Genomic DNA, 17,079 nt, shown 5'->3' with positions numbered 1-17,079 from the left:
TTAGGTCTATTACCTATTTTAAGTTAATATTTGTGAACTGTGTGAGGTAGGGGTTGAGGTTCTTTTTCCCATATGCCTCTCTTCAGTTGTTCCAATGTTATTTCTTTTCTTTTCTTTTCTTTTCTTTCTTTTCTTCCTTTTTTTTTTTTTTTTTCTTTTTGAAATGGAGTTTCTCTCTTGTCGCCCAGGCTAGAGTGCAATGGTGCGATCTCGGCTCACTGCTATCTCTGCCTCCAGTATTCAAGCGATTCTCCTGCCTCAGCCTCCTGAGTAACTGGGATTACAGGCACATGCCACCATGCCCAGCTAATTTTGTATTTTTAGTAGAGATGGGGTTTCACTATGTTGGCCAGGCTGGTCTCAAACTCCCGACCTCAGGTGGTCCACCCGCCTTGTCCTCCCAAAGTGCTGGGATTACAGGCATGAGCCATGGTGCCTGGCCCAACATTATTTCTTAAAATGCCATCCTTTCTTCCACTGACTTACCTTGGCAAATCATTGAACCATGTATGTATGGAGTTTTTCTGGATTCTTTACTCTGTTTTATTGATCTGTATGTCCATCTTTATGCCAATACCATGCTATCGTGATTAATAAGGCTCTTTAGTAAGTCTTGAAATTGGCTAGTTTAAGTCCTCAATTTTGTTCTCTTTTCTCAAAATATTTTGGCTATTCTAAGTCCTTCGAATTTCTATACAGAGTTTAGAATCATCTTGTCAATTTATTTTTTGTCTACAAAAAATAAAACTGTGCTTGTGATCCAGATTATGTTGAATTTATAGACCAATTTAAGATTTAATCATTTTATAAAATTGAGTCTTCCGATTTATAAATATGGTATTTATCTCCATTTATTTGGGTATTATTTCATTTTTCTTAGTAATGTTTCTTAAGTTTAAGTGTACATGTCTTGCACCATATTTTGTTAAATATATTTCAGTGTTTTCCACTGTTTAGTACTGTTATACATGGTATTGTTTAAATTTCCATTTCCAATTGTTGATTACTAGAATATAGATATACATTTTTTTTTTTTTGAGATGGAGTTTCACTAATGGCGCAATCTCGGCTCACTGCAACCTCCACCTCCTGGGTTCAAGCGATTCTCCTGCCTCAGCCTCCCGAGTAGCTGGGATTACCGGCGCCTACCACTATGCCCAGCTAATTTTTTGTAAATTTAGTAGAGACAGGGTTTCACCATGTTGGCCAGGCTGGTCTCGAACTCCTGACTTCAGGTGATCCACCCACTTTGGCCTCCCAGAGTGCTGGGATTATAGGCATGAGCCACTTTGACCGGCCTAGATTACTTTTTTTTTTTTTTTTGAGACAGTTTCACTCTTGTTGCCCAGGCTGCAGTGCAATTGCACGATCTCGGCTCACAGCAACCTCCACCTCCTGGGTTCAAGTGATTCTCCTGCCTTAGCCTCCCGAGTAGCTGGGATTACAGGCATGCACCACCACGCCCGGCTAATTTTGTATTTTTAGTAGAGACAGGATTTCTCCATGTTGGTCAGGCTTGTCTCGAACTCCCGACCTCAGGTGATCTGCCCACCTCAGCCTCCCAAAGTGCTGGGATTATAGGCATGAGCTATGGCTCCCAGCCTAGATATACTTTTTTTTTTTTTTTTACATTCATGTAAAAAATGGATACTGTAACTTTACTAAATACACTTCCTTGGTATAGTACATTTTGTAGTTGTTAGGATTTTCCATGTATGCAATCATGTCATATGCAAATAAGGGCAGTTTTACTTTTTGCTTTTCAATCTCAATATTTTTTATCTCTTTATTTCTTTATATTATCAATTAGTATTTAAGGGGACTATTGCATAGAATTGGTGAGAGTAGATATTCTTGTCTAGTTCCTGATTTGGGGAGAAAAGCATTCTGAATCTCACCGTTAAGAGTTATCTTAGCTATATATTTTTCATAGGTGCTCTTCATCAGGTTAAGGAAGTTTCTTGCATTTCTAGTTTTCTGGGAGTTTTTATCATGAATCGTTGCTGTATTTTTTTGGCATCTATCTGTCTGCTCCTATGCTAGATTTAGGACTGGGATGAGAGTCCCAGTATAAATAGCACTGAATCCACTGGCAGAGGCTATGTGACACAGGAAAATGGAACAGACAAGCTTGGGGTTACAGACTCAGACAGTCATTGACGCTCTTTCTCCCAAACCTCCCTGAAGCTATTTGAAATTTTCCAGTTAAAGGAGGCTTAATTATTCCCATCACAAATACTCCTGAAGCACAAAGGACTCATAATATAATGAATATCAATTTGGTTAGATTGTTTTCCTAACATCAAACTGACAAGCACTGAGGAACTCGGAAGAGGTGTGAGAGGTAACGTTGAAACCCAGTAAGCCCTGGGAGGGGCAGGTTAAGATGAGCCAGCAGAGCGGGAAGCAATCCAAGAAGAGGAGAGAGATGTCAAAGAAAGGAAGAGAGAGGAGGCCATAGATACGTTTTACATTCTCATTGAGAGCCCTGGTGATAACCATTATGCCACTGAAATCCTGTTCTCCTACATTAATTCTTTCTTAAACAAGCAAGGTTACAAACAAGTATTTTAAAACAAAATTATGCTGTGAGCTGTTTTTGGCAAGTGTGCCCAAGGACTATTTTGGAAGACTGAATCCTCATTCAGTTCACAGCTATCTCTCTAGTCCAGATCGCTCCAATCAGGCTCTCCAGCATATTATCTTCCAGACCAGCACTAATCACTGTGTGCTTTATAGAGCACTATTTCAGAGGAGAGTTAATAGATATACGTACACACTCAAAAAAAAAAACCCCGAGAAAGAACAATAATTCCATGAGTGTTGCTAAACATGTATGTTTATATTAGAATTCAATAGGACTGTGGATATACAAATGAGCATAGTGAATTTTCAAAAGGATATTATAGTACACAGCATTGTATGTGGTATTTAAGTTGGAAATAAAACTCAGACTTCTGGACTTCGAGTCTAGTGGATTCAAGAGGTCTGGTAGAAATACTACTTGACTTCAAGACAGAAAGTCCACTTTCAATTTCCAGCTCTTCTGTTTAGTGTCTATCTAGGGGTGGTTATTTACAATTTCTGTCTTTCTTTCTTCATCTATATAAAGATAATTATTTGACTTACCTCATAGTGTTAATCATAAAGATTAAATTAGTATATGTAAAATCACCTAGTCAATATCTGATGCTGAATAAATGTAAGTTCTCCATTTAATTCCAAACCACATTCTCTTAAAGAAAAGGCAGATTTTAAAATTTCATTGTGAATTGTATAACTAATATAATCACCATGAATTATCAACAAATTAACTGCAATCTAATTAATATTTACAGTATTACATATAGAAACTGACCTAATTTAAGGTCAGTTAACAAGTAAAAGGAATATGAGTTAACATTATACATAAGATATTTAATGTATATATAACACATGAATTGCCATTCACATTATGAACATTCTAGGGAATTCTAGTTCCTGCATGAGACAGACAGAATGACCCAAGCCTTTAGGGGAACACTGTAGTTTGTGAGTTTAGAATAGAAATGAAGCTTATTGATCCATTGGTAGGAGAATATCAGTGCAATTGTAGCAAAACAAAGCAAATATTGAAAGAAAAGGGGTACTTTGAAGCAGCATAGCAAAAGAAAAGGCACACTCCACACAATTCAAGTTCTTGCCTCATATATTGGACATTTGACCTTGGACATTTCGTAGGGTTTTACTTGCTTTAAATATGAAATGGAAATAACACTTCCCCTGCCTGGCGGCAGGGGCTGGATCAGATTCTCTTTTTCCCTTCTTGGTGCTGCATTTCCTTTGCACGGCTTTAACTTTTGATCTTGGCCTCATTGTCCAAAACTACTCAATGTCCAAAACTGCAAAACGGTATGGGCAACTACAAAATCCTACTACTAACTGTGTATGTAATTGCTGAGATTAAGTTTTGTGACTTAGAATTCTCTGATGTGAATCCTAAAGCTCTCAATTTGCTCATTATGCCCACATAGTCTCTTATCTTAGACCTTAAGAGGAAAGTTTTAATCCTTGCAGCTTTAAACCAAGGCATTTGAATCTTAGTCGGTTGCTTTGGTAGTGCAGCCAGCCTGAAGAGCACACCACTAGGTGGCGCTGAAGATCCGGCTGTAGAAGGAGAATTGTCCATAAACAGAAAAGCGTTTTTCCCTCTGGGTTCCTCTATTAGCCAGCGCCAGCCTAGTGTTTGCTTTATTGTCAGGGATCTTGGAGATGTCTTGGCTTGAGTCTGACGCAAATAGTCCCCCTGCAGTGCTCAGCAGTTTGTAAAGGGGGTCTGGGGCCTGGCAATAGTCTCTCAAAGGCCTTATGAAAAGATCATTAATGACCCTCACTTTCTGCCTCCTCCCTCCACCTTCCCTCAGTCCCCAAGTCTGGCGGCCTATCCTGTGCTTCTTCAACCATTCATTCAAGCATCTACTGCATGCTTTTTTTTTTTTTTTTTTTTTTTTTTTTTTTTTTTTTTTTTTTTTTTTTGAGACGGAGTTTCGCTGTCGTCACCCAGGCTGGAGTGCAATGGTGCGATCTCGGCTCACTGCAACCTTCGCCTCCCAGGTTCACTGCTTCAGCCTCCTGGATAGCTGGGATTACAGGCACGCGCCATCACGCCCAGCTAATTTTGGATTTTTAGTAGAGACAGGGTTTCACCATGTTGGCCAGGCTGGTCTCGAACTCTTGACCTCAGGTGATCTGCCTGCCTCGGCCTCCCAAAGTGCTAGGATTACAGGCGTGAGCCACCACACCCAGCCTATTGCATGCTCTTATGGATCAGGCATACAGCTAGTAGTGCTGTGGTTTGAGAGACACATAACTTTAGCATTTCTTTCTCGATCTGCCATTAGTACCGAACCCAGGTACGGTGCATTAGGGTGACTGCTCAGGCTCTGCACTTAGGGGATCAGGCTGCTGGCAGCTAAGCTGTATTTCAAGGATGGGATAGAGTGGATATATTGTGTTTCTTATATTTACAACCAGCCCAGAATCCCTCCCTCCTCCAAAACACAACATCTGCATGAGGGCCTATAGCCTCCGTCCATCCTCCCATATCCATCTTCCATTCTTCACCTTTTTTTTTCTCTTTCGCATAGCTCTTGATACTATTTTAATTGAACTCTAAGGCAATGTAGTCTTTGGTCATTTTTTTTTAAGTAAAAAGTCTGTTGGGAATACACTTATAAATTGGAATATTACTCAGCAATGAAAAGAAATGAGCTATCAACCTATCAATTAAAAGACATGGAGGTGACTGGGTGCTGTGGCTCATGCCTGTAATCCCAGCACTTTGGGAGGCTGAGACACGCAGATCACTTGAGGTCAGGAGTTCAAGACCAGCCTGGCCAACATGGTGAAATCCCCATTTCTACTAAAAATACAAAAATTAGCCAGGTGTGGTGGTGTGCACCTGTAATCCCAGCTACTTGGGAGGCTGAGGCAGAAGAAATGCTTGAACCCAGGAAGCGGAGGTTGCAGCCTGGGTGACAGAGTGAGACTCCATCTCAAAAAAAAAAAAAAAAAGAAAAAAAGACAAGACAAGACATGGAGGAAACTTAAATGCATATTGCCAAGTAAAGGAAGCCAATCTGAAAAGGCTACATACTGTATGATTCCAACTATATGATGTTCTGGGAAAGACAAGGCTATGGAGACAGTAAAATGATCAGAGGTTGCCAGAGGTTCAGGGGGAGAGAGGAGGAGATAAATAGGCAGAACACAGGGGATTTGTGGGGCAGTGAAACTATTCTGTGTAATACCATAGTGGTGGATACGTGTCATACATTTGCCAAAACCCACAGAATGTACAACACAAAGAATAAACCCTAATGTAGACTATGGTTGTTAATTAATAATGATATAGCAATATTGGCTCTTCAATTGTAACAAATTGTTGCAAGGAGTTAATAATAGGGGAAACGGGATGAAGTAGAGAATATATGGGGACTCTACTTTCTGCTTAATTTTTCTGTAAACTAGAAAAGTCGATTAATTTTTACAAATGCCTGAGAGGGGCTGGGCGCAGTGGCTCACACCTGTAATCCCAGCACTTTGGGAGGCCGAGGCGGGTGGATCACCTGAGGTCAGGAGTTCGAGGCCAGCCTGACCAACATGGTGAAACCCATCTCTACTAAAAATACAAAAAATTACCTGGGTGTGGTGGTAGGCACCTGTAATTCCAGCTACTTGGGAGGCTGAGGCAGGAGAATTGTTTGAACCTGGAGGCGGAGGGTTCAGTGAGCCGAGATGGTGCCACTGCACTCCAGCCTGGGTGACAGTGTGAGACTCCGTCTCAAAAAAAAAAAAAAAAAAAAAATGAAAAGCCTGAGAAGAAAAGCCTCATATTTACATGGTGCTTTACAGTTTTCAGATTACTCCATTTGATTCTCACAAGAACATCGTAAATGGAAAAGACTAGAATTGCCCTGAGTTCACAGATTGGTCATCGAGGTCAAAGAAATCAAGTGACTTCTGGAGGCCACACAGCTAATAAACAGCAAGGCAATGACTTGAACCCAGGTCTTCTGGTTCCAGGTCCAGAGCTCTTTTCTCTATATTCTAAACACTTGCAAGCAGGGGAAATGTTATCAGTCCCCTACACTCTCCAGTGACTATTCTGTGTCTTTCCTAGGGTTTTAGGTGAGCTCAATTTGATAGAGGTATACAACATAAAGTATAACTCAAGACTTCACACTAAGGCTGACATGATTTAATGCAAGGATCTCATGCAGAAAACAGCATCTTCAATGTACTTTCTTCTCCCAACACTACCACCCATTCTTTCCTCCAGTGTCTTTTGGGATTTTAGCTTCCTCTACACTTTTAGGATAATCCATTATAGCAGGAATGAAAGCAGAGAGACCAGCTAGAAGAGGCTAGGGACAATTTTATATAACCCTGTACTGAGAATGTGGGATTGTTCCCTTAAGAAAACCACAGTGGCTTGTGATGGGATCTGGGCCTTCTAGAAGGCATCATCCCAGGGTAAATCATTGTTAGCTCTGAGACTGCATAGAACAAGTTTTCAACAGTGACACCTCGTGATACTGAGAATCAATAGCAATAGAAGACTGGAGACCCTAATTTTCTCTTTTGGGGGGGTTATGGAGACCATCCTGACTCCTCTGGAGGCTGTATAAACCTCCAGAATTCCTCAACATGGTGGACGAGGGGAATGAAAGTTCCCAACACAGGCACCTGCTTTCAGCAAATTAGTCATTTGGCCCCTTGTGCAATTGAATAGAAAAATAAAAGAGATTGTGGTCATGTTTGCACTTTGAGGTTGGCGAGCAGTTCACAAAAACTACAGCAAGGAATGTGTAATCCGGAAAGACACATTTTGGAAAGGACTGAAGTAGATTGGGAATGTCCATATAATGACCAGGGCAAAGCGGATGCAATGGAAGTGTCGTCTGACTGTGATTCTTATGTGGTGGCTGTCTCTATTGCGGTATGTTCTGGCCAGCCTCAGGAAGGTGGATGAAACTTAAGTAAGTAGAGATGTGGCCTGAAAGGGGAAGACCAATCTAGAAAGTGAAGAGATTACTGGTGAAATGTCTCTGGAAAGTGGAACTTTTCCTATGAGAAATAGACTGTGGTTTAGAAAGTCATAGCAAAGGTAACTTTTTTTTTTTTTTTTTGAGATGGAGTCTTGTTCTGTTGCCCAGGCTGGAGTTCAATGGCATGATCTTGGCTCACTGCAACCTCTGCCTCCCAGGTTCACGTGATTCTCCTGCCTCAGGATCCCGAGTAGCTAGGATTACAGGCACCTGCCACAACGGGCCTGCCTAATTTTTGTATTTTTAGTAGAGACAGGGTTTCACCATGTTGGCCAGGCTGGTCTCAAACTCCTGACCTCAAGTGATCCACCTGCCTCAGTCTCCCAAAGTGCTAGGATTACAGGCGTGAGCCACCATGCCCAGCCTATCAAAGGTAACTTATTTTCACATTTGTTACCCACAGTTTTGAGGAACAGTAGGGAACAGGAAAGATACAGCCTCGTTTGCATGGAGTCTGTGACATTCTGAGGGGGAAGTTAGATGTTCTAATGGGGAGCACAGCCCAGATGAAAATGACAGCCCAGATGAGCTGCTATTTCTTTCACCTTGCCCAGCCCACCAGACTTCTACCATTGCTATTGCTGAGAGAGAGCCGTGCACCCTTGTTACACATTGAGTTGTGTTCCCCAAAAAGACCCATTGAAGTCCTAACCCCCACTGCCTTGTTTATTTGGAAATAGGGTCTCTGCAGCTACAATTATTTAAGATGAGGTCATATAAGGAGTAAGGTGAGCTCTTAATCTGATCCGACTGGTGTCTTTTTAAGAGGCAGGGAGAAAGACACATGGGCAGGAGAATACCACATGGAGACACAGACACACGAGGGGAGGATGCCTGCTGACCATGGAGGCAGAAGTGGGACTGACGCATCGATCAGCTGAGGGATGCCAAGCACTGCCAGCAAACACCAGAGGCTTGATGGGGGCGAGTATTCTCCTGTGCAGGTATCAGAGGGAGCCTGGCCTTGCAGATACCTTGATTCCTGACTTCTGGCCTCTAAAATGGTGAGAGAATGAACTTCTGTTGTTTTAAGCCCCCCAGGTTTGGTACTTTGTTATGATGGCCCTGGGAAACTAGCACAGCTCTCATCTCTTGCCCTAAGTGAACTTATCCATCTCCATAATTTAAAAACCATCTGTTTGCTGATGATTCCCAAGTAATACAGTAAAGCTACATTAGATGAAAAGTGATTCAACTCTAGTCACTTGACAAAAAAAAAAGCCAACCCTACTTTTTCCATATTTCCATTTCTACAAACCAGACTTTGACTTCGCTTAAACCGGAAAAGATACTGTTGGAGAGGAGGGGAGATGGGAGAAGTTGTGGCCACACATCAGGGAGAAAAACAAGTTAACTCCTATCTTTTGAGTTTCCAAAGACTCAGGTCCACAGCTCTAAGGGTTTTTGAAGGATGATTTTTAATTGTTTATTCTTTGGCCTTACATGCTGACTTTACAAATTAACACTGAAGTCAGATGAGATTCTACTACATCTCTAGCCGACACCTCATCTTTCACTCCAGCTTGTATGACTGGCTGCTGAACACATCTAGTTGGGTGTCTCACACACATCTCAAACCAGCATGTTCAAAACTAAGTTCTAGATTTGCCTCCCTAACCAGTTTATCCCCTATTTCCATCACCACCATGCTAGTCCAAGGGATTACACTTCCCTTCTGGAAGTTTTTGGAAATAGCCCCGTTGCAATTCCCGCCTTCACATTTGCCTCCAACAGTCTATTCTCCACTTAAGGAGTTGCATCATAGCTACCCTGCTTAAAATCTTTAAAAAAAACCTTCCCAATGCCCTTACAGTAGTCTCTTAAATCCTAAGCCACAAGCCCCTATGCAATCTAGCCCCTGCCTACTCTCCAGCTTTGCCATGGGTTACTCTCCCTGTCACTTACTGCATTCCAATCATCCTGGCTTCTTTCCTTCTTTTCAAACATGCCAAACTCTTTCCCACCTAATTCCCTGTCCCAGCAGAGGGAACAGCACATGTGAAGGCATTTCCATGGCTGGCTCCTTCTCTGCCTTGGATCTTAACTTGAAACTCATCCCCTTGGAGAGATCTTTCCTAACTCCTTAGTCTACAGTAGGGGCTCCTGCACTTGTCTCTCATGGCACTCTGTTCTTTCCTTTAAGTACTTACTATAATTTGCAATATATATTTATGTGTTAGTATCAGCTGCTCCCCCTTCCATGCCCTATGCCCCATCCTGCCCAGACTATAAGGTCTTTGGGGACATGTCTGTCTTGTTCATCAGTATATATTTGGTGTTGGGCACATATTAAGTGCTAGAGAAAGTTGAAGGAATGAATGAATTATACAGTTAAAATTTCACAATTGTGGTAAGTCCTGGAAAGGACAAATAAGGGTTGTTTGCTCTGAGAACAAACTTTAACACAACTTGACCAAGGCTGGGATTATTGGAGGGCTGGTCTGGGGAAGTGATGCTTAAGTTGAGACCCAATGGGCTGGTATCACACAGAAAGCCTTCACAACTCAGGGGAGCAGTGTGTGCAAAGGCCCTGAGGTGGAAAGGAGCACAGTATGTTCTAGGATCTGAAAGGGAGAACTCAAAGCAAGAAGGAGAAAGATTCTAGAAGACGCTGGTGAGGCAGGCTGGAGGCTGACCCGGAAAGACCTTCAGGAGATGTGGAAGAGTTTGGAGTAATGAGAAGCCATTTTAAGTACAGGAATGATTCCATCGAATTTGTGTAAGATCAGTCTGGCCGCTGGGTGGAGGCTTTCTAAGATGGGGTTGAAGAGGGATGGGGAGGAGTAAGGAAGGCTGTAGAATGACCAGGAGTCCACAGGAGGCAATGTGAGAAATTGTGGCTTGAACTAGGCTGAGGGAAGCAGAGGTGAACAGACAATTTCCAAAGATACTTAGAAAGATATGCAAAGAAGACTAGGTCCTTGCCCTCAAGACTTACTTTTTCTGAGCATGGAAAGACACACAGAAAGAGGAATTGTAGGCTGGGCATGGTGGCTCACACCTGTAATCCCAGCACTTTGGGAGGCCGAGGCAAGCAGATCACGAGGTCAGGAGTTTGAGACCAGTTTGGCCAATATGGTGAAACCCCGTCTCTACTAAAAATACAAAAAAAAATTAGCCAGGTGTGGTGGTGCATACCTGTAGTCCCAGCTACTTGGGAGGGTGAGGCAGGAGAATCGCTTGAATCTGGGAGGTGGAGGTTGCAGTGAGCCAAGATTGCCTCACTGCACTCCAGCCCGGGTGATAGAGCAAGACTCCACCTCAAGAAAAAAAAAAAAAAAAAAGAGGAACGGTAAAGGGAAGAAACACAGAGGAAAAGAGGAAGAGGAAAGGATTAGGACCTGGTATAATAAATCCTGAAAGTATTAAAAAGGGAATTCTGGGAGGAGATAGTCTAATTGTGTCCTACCAAATGCTGGTGCTCGGATTCTCTTACAAAACCCCCCATGTAACACAGGAGCCCAACACATATTGGTTTACCACTGGAAATAATCATATTTTGCATTAATAGTTTTGGCCTTCAGCCCATCTTCATGCAGTTTCAGATCTGATTTTTTTTTTTTTTTTTTTTTTTTTTTTTTTGCAACTCAACAGATTGCATTGTTGGTTGCCTTTTAATTGTTGAATTGCTGTTCTTTATCTGCAGTCTCTGACTAGTAACCTTATTATAGCAATTACCCAAGACTTAAAACTAAACAGTGAACAATAAAAATCTACAGTAATGAAAATGCTTAAATTAAATAAAAATCTCCTAACATGTAGCTGAGCATACTGAAATGGATTGTATGAGTCACCAACTGTATGAATGATTTATTTTAGAAGTTATATCAGCTGAAGAAAATCATATATCAATCTCATCATTCAATACCCAGGCCAGCCCAAATACACTCATCACAGAGCCTCTGAATGAAATGGTCTCATGCAGAGATTATTAATCTATAAATAATATCCTAATGGTCTGTTAGTGTTTATGACTACTGTTTTAAAAATATTCATTAGTGGCTTTAAGAGCTGTTTCATATTTGTTTCCACTGTCCCATATATGTTTGCAACTCTGTGTGTGTGTGAGTGTGTGTGTGTGTGTGTGTGTATATATGTGTGGGTTTATGTTGTAGCCCACTAAAACAGCCATACTGTGATAGCCAGACGAAGAATCTGCTCCTGTTTGCAATACTATTTTAAAGACAAGTAAGAAAAGAAAAAAATCTCATAAAATATTAAAGAAAATCCTAATTTTGTTACTTGAGAATGCAGAATGGCTTTATGAATAAATAGAGAGCTATGTTCTAAAGTCTATTCCTCTTTTATCACAACAGCAAACAGGTATAGCATGGTACTAAGAAAAAGCTGTTTTTCCTTCTATAGTCAATACTTCTGACGCCAAATGTGTGGGTTTCCCATACCAAGCAATTCTGATACTGCCTACCTGGAGTTAGTGCAGATCCTCCACGTTAAGGGGTCAGCCCACGAGACTGCCCTCCACTCAGATGCCAACCACAAGTGGTGGGTCCCCAGGTTACCCACACTTCTGTCTGACTTGGCTACAAATCAGGGGTTCCCGCAACTCCCCTCAGGTTTGACAATTTGCTACAACAGCTCACAGAACTCAGGGAAACACTGATGTTTGCTGGTTTACCATATAGTAAAGCAGACAGAGGAGCAGCAAGATGAAGAGGTGCATAGGGTGAGGTGGGGAAGGGTCCTGAATGCAGGGGCTGCTGTTTGGGTACACCGCCCTCCCAGCATGTGGATGTATTCACCAACCCAGAAGCTCTCCAAACCCCATATGTCAGGGATTTTTATGGAGATTTCATGACATAAGCATAATCAATTAACTCAATCTCCAGGCCCTCTTCCCTTCCTGGAGGATAGGGGGTAGGGCTGAAAGTTCCAAGTGTCTAACCATGGCAGTGTCATATATTTCTGATGAGCAGCCCCCCCATCCAGGGACCCACCAAGAGTCATCTGATTTGACAAAAGACACTCCTATCACCTAGAACATTTCAAGGAATTTAGGAGCTCTGTGTCAGGAACTGGGGTCAAAGACCAAATATTAGAATAAAAGATGCTCCCTACTAGAATAAAAGATATCAAAGAAGATCAGTTAATTAAACATTTTACCAAGAGGAAATTATAAAAGTTTCAGGAGCTCTGTGGCAGCAACTGGGGATGAAGGCCAAATATATCTTTTATTATATCCCAATATCACACATGGCGAGAGATTTGATCAGCACTTCACTTAAGAGGAAACCCAAATGTCCAATAATCATATGAAAAGTTACCCCACTGCCTTTGTAATTAGAGGAACACATTGAAATAGAAATGAGATATCACAACAGAATGGCTGTAATTAAAAAGACTGATGACACCAAGCATTGATGAGGGTGTGGAGCAATGGGAACACTCGTACATTCCTGGTGGGAGTATAATTGATACAACCACAATCGAAAACTGCTTGACAATCTCTATAAGAGATGAACATGTACATACTCAGTTATTCTACTTATAAGAATACAGTTATATTAATTTTCTATCACTGCCATAACAGATGACCACAAACTTAGTGACTTAAAAGAATACCAGTATATTATCCTACAGTTCTGCAGCTCAGAAGTGGGAAATGGATCTCCTGACTTAAAATCAAGGTGTCAGCTAATGTGTGTTCCATCTGGAAACTCTATGAAAGAATCCATTTCCTTAATCATTTCAGCTCCTAGAGGCCCAGCCACAGTCCTTGTCTGATGGTCCCAAAGCTAGCAAAGGGGAGTTCTCACATTACGCCACTGTGACCTCCTCTTCTGTCTCCCTCTTCCACATTTAAGGATCCTTGTGCTACCCTGGGCCTGCCTGGATAATCCAGAATAATCTTCCTACTTTAAGGTCAGCTATTAACAAATTTACTTCCATCTTCTACCTTCATTCCCTCTGCCATGAAATGTAGCATATTCACAGGTTCTAGGGATTAGGAGACAGGCATCTTTGAGGGATCATTACTTTGCCTCCCATGGTAGCCAACAGATATGCACACACATGTGCTTCCAAAGACACCTCTGAGGTTGCTTAGCGCAGTATAATCTTTGTTGGCCAAAAGGTAGAAAAAGCCCAAATGTACATCAGGAGTAGAGTAGATTTTTATATATTGTATATTGTGGTATGTTCATAAAACATAATTCTTTACAGCAGTGAAATAAATGAGTCACAGCTTCAAGCTCCAGCTTGAATGGATCTCACAAACATAATGTTAAGCAAGAAGCCAGACACAAAAAGAATACATATGGTAGTACTCCGCTTATATAAAGTTAAAAAACATGCAAGCCCGCTGCTGGAAGTCAAGGTAGCGGCTTCATGTGGGGAGGAAGAAGAAAGGTGATTAGGAAGAGAACGAGGGCTTTGGGATGCTTCTGGGTCATGTTCTGCTTCTTGACATGGATGGTTACATGAATGTGTTCACTTCCTGATCATTCGTTGAGCCGTACAAGCAAATGTGCCTACTTTTTGTATCTTTGTAATGCTCCAATAAGATTTTTTAAAAATAACATGGTTGTGGCACTGTTTCTTATCAAATGTTTCTTTCCTATTGGTCTCATCCCTATAAGATAAGCCCTTGAGGATGAGTGTCATGTCTTACTTATCTATGGATCTCCAGAGCAGATGCTCAGTAAATGTCAAAAAGATTCAGTCCTTACAACTTGCAAGATAACCAGGGCTGCTGCATACGGTTTCTCAGGATGTGCACTGCGCCACTCTAGAGCTTGTTACCCACACTGTCTCTGGCTCCACATAAGTAAAGCAATTATTATCATCTTGTCCAGTGTCATGGATGAGGAAACTCAGGCTGAGAGCCTAAGAGACACATTACAAAGTGAGGGAGTAGATCACAAAATTGCCCTGACTCTGACACTAATTGCAAGTCCAGGGGTTTCCCAAACCACTTTCAGATTTGATAGTTGCTAGAAGGACTCACAGCTTCCCTGAAAGCTGTTCTACTCAGAGTTATGGTTTATTACAGTGAAAGAAAACAGAATAAAAACAGCTAAGGAAAGAAATGCATGGGGTAGAATCCAGGAAAGTTCCAAACACACAGAGCTTCCAGTTGTGTTCTCCCAGAGAGATATACCCAGCATTACTTTCTCAGTAATGGTGTGTGACAATACACATGGAGCACTGCCAACCAGGGAAGTTCCCCAAGCCTTGGTGTCCAGAGTCCGTGTTGGGTTCCATCACATAGACATGGTCACTGCCCATGTGGCTGGCCTAAGTCCCCAGCCCCTTTAGAAGTTAAGCTGATACCACATGACTCAAAGACCCCACCATACATCACAATGTTAGACCTTCTGGTGTGGCCCAAAGCCCCCAGGAAAACTTTTATCAGGTGGGACATTCCAAGAGCTTAGAAATTGCCTCTCAAGAGTGAAGCGCAAAGTCCAGTCCTCTCTTTAGGCGACATTAAATTATTTACTACACACATATCTAAGGTCACACCTGAAATGGAAGGAGACACACCTGGAAATGGAAGTTTCTGGAAAGGTGGCTTAATGTATGGGCTCTAGAATAAGAAAAACTTAGACCCTTATCTTGACTCTGCTTCTTATCAGCTATTTGAACGTGGCCAAGGCTCTGTTTTTATTGGTAAAACAGAGATAATAAGACAGAGGTCATAGGGTTATTGGGAGCATTAAATAAAATAACTCAGGTAAAGCACTGAGATGAGTACCTTCAATAAATGGTGGCTATTTTTAAAAATACCCGTTGATTGATAGATCTTTTCTTGCTGAGCACCCATGCATTTATTGACCTGACCATGTTTGTGGTATACCACCTGATGTCGCCACATGGTCTTAGACTCCTCTGATGGCGGGGCATAGTCCTCCTTAGGGCATGAGTGCTAAGAGATGGTTTCTTTATGGGAAAATAAGTAAAACAGGAATCTCTCAGCCAGGCAGTAATAACTTCTGGGAACTTGAGAAGGGCAGAACAAGCAGGTTTCAAAGGGTGAAAACGTAGCACAGCTTACCCTCTTGAAAACTGGCACCCACGGTGGGTCAGGATTCATAGACATCTGAAGGCCCATATCATTTCATTGCCTCCCCAGCAGCAGGAATTCACGTTCTCATGCTCTGCTGTTGATAGGGTTCAGTGACACTGTTCCCACCTGCTGTACCTTCAGATCAAATTGAACATAGAGAGAGAAAGTAATTGGTTGGACTTTATCATTTTCACCTCTGTTGGGCTTAACTCTCATACCAAGACACATCTGGCCAGCTTGCGGGTTGGATGTGCCTGAGTCAGGAGCCTGCTCCTAGTCCAAGCAGCTGTGGCTCAGGAAACAGCATCCATGTGGTAGCAGGAAGGAAATTTGGGATTAAGGAAATGTGGTAGGCAGCCTCTGCGATGGCCCCAGTGGGCCCCACCTCCTAGTATTCACACCCTTATATAATCCCTTCCCTTGAATGTGGACTGGGCTTTTTGACTTGCTTCAGTGACGGTATGTCACTTCCAAGATAAGGTTATAAAATGACTCTGGCTTACATCTTGATTTCTTTCTCTTGCTCTCTCTTTCTCTCTCTCTTTTTTTTTTTTTCAGATGGAGTCTCACTCTCTCACCCAGCCTGAATGGAGTGCAGTGGCATGATCTCAGCTCACTGCAACCTCCACCTCCTGGGTTCAAGTGATTCTTGTGCCTCAGCCTCCCAAGTAATTGGGACTACAGGCCTATACAACCACACCCAGCTGATTTTTTTTTTTTTTTTTTTTTTGTATTTTTAGTAGAGATAGGGTTTTGCCATGTTGGCCAGGCTGGTCTCAAACTCCTGGCCTCAAGTGATCTGCCTGCCTCGGCCTCCCAAAGTGCGGGATTACAGGCATGAGCCACCACACCCGGCCTCTTGCTCTCTTTCTGATTTCTCTTTCTGGGGATTCCAGCTGTCATGTCATGGAGGCAGCCCACATGAATGAGTTTGGAAGCAGATCTTTGGAGGCCTGCTAACAGCCACATGAGTGGGCTGTGAAGCAGCTCTTCTACCTTTGAGCTTTCAGATAAGACTGCAGCCCTGGCCAGAGACCTTGAGCCAGAAGCACCAGCTAAACCAACTCAGATTCCTAACTCATAGGAACCTTGAGGTAATTGATACTTTCTGTTTTAAATGGCTAGGTTTGGGGTAGTCTGTGAGTCAGTCATAGATCAATACTACAGGAATCACCTAGTACTGATGCCCTTGGCAGGGATTTGTGAGAGAGGTTTGGCCTGTGCAGTTCACACATCCATGTGAAAGCGTTAAGGGTAGCTCAGATTTACAAACAGTGACTCCCTGAATGAAGGCATTGTCCTGCCATGGAGAACAGGGACGGGCTTGGTGTGCAATCCACATTTGTTGGTTGAAGAGCAGTGCCTTCACTGTAGAAGAAGACAGGTAACAGTGACAGCATGTCAGAACAGTCACATCTAGACATCCGTCTCACAAACGCTAGGTAGCAGAAATAAAGCTCTTGT

The 17,079-nt window shown here is 42.3% G+C and overlaps 1 long non-coding RNA gene across 6 annotated transcripts in view; it reads left to right on the top strand.

Annotated features, from left to right (window-relative positions):
* The window catches only part of AGK-DT (AGK divergent transcript), a 51,205-nt gene that overhangs the window by 13,708 nt on the left and 20,418 nt on the right, over window positions 1-17,079 (top strand). For 2 of the 6 annotated variants that reach the window (NR_183402.1, NR_183404.1), the window contains 2 exons: window positions 6,394-6,564; window positions 8,356-8,593. The exons of 2 other annotated variants lie outside the window; for them this stretch is intronic. This is a non-coding gene — a long non-coding RNA (AGK divergent transcript). The remainder of the gene's footprint in view (window positions 1-6,393; window positions 6,565-8,355; window positions 8,594-17,079) is intronic. 2 more of the 6 variants (NR_183407.1, NR_183405.1) reach the window with 1 other exon arrangement.

The sequence above is a fragment of the Homo sapiens genome, chromosome 7 (assembly GCF_000001405.40).
Source record: "Homo sapiens chromosome 7, GRCh38.p14 Primary Assembly".
NCBI classification, from domain to species: Eukaryota; Metazoa; Chordata; class Mammalia; order Primates; family Hominidae; genus Homo; species Homo sapiens.
This window is presented reverse-complemented; position numbering and strand designations above follow the sequence as displayed.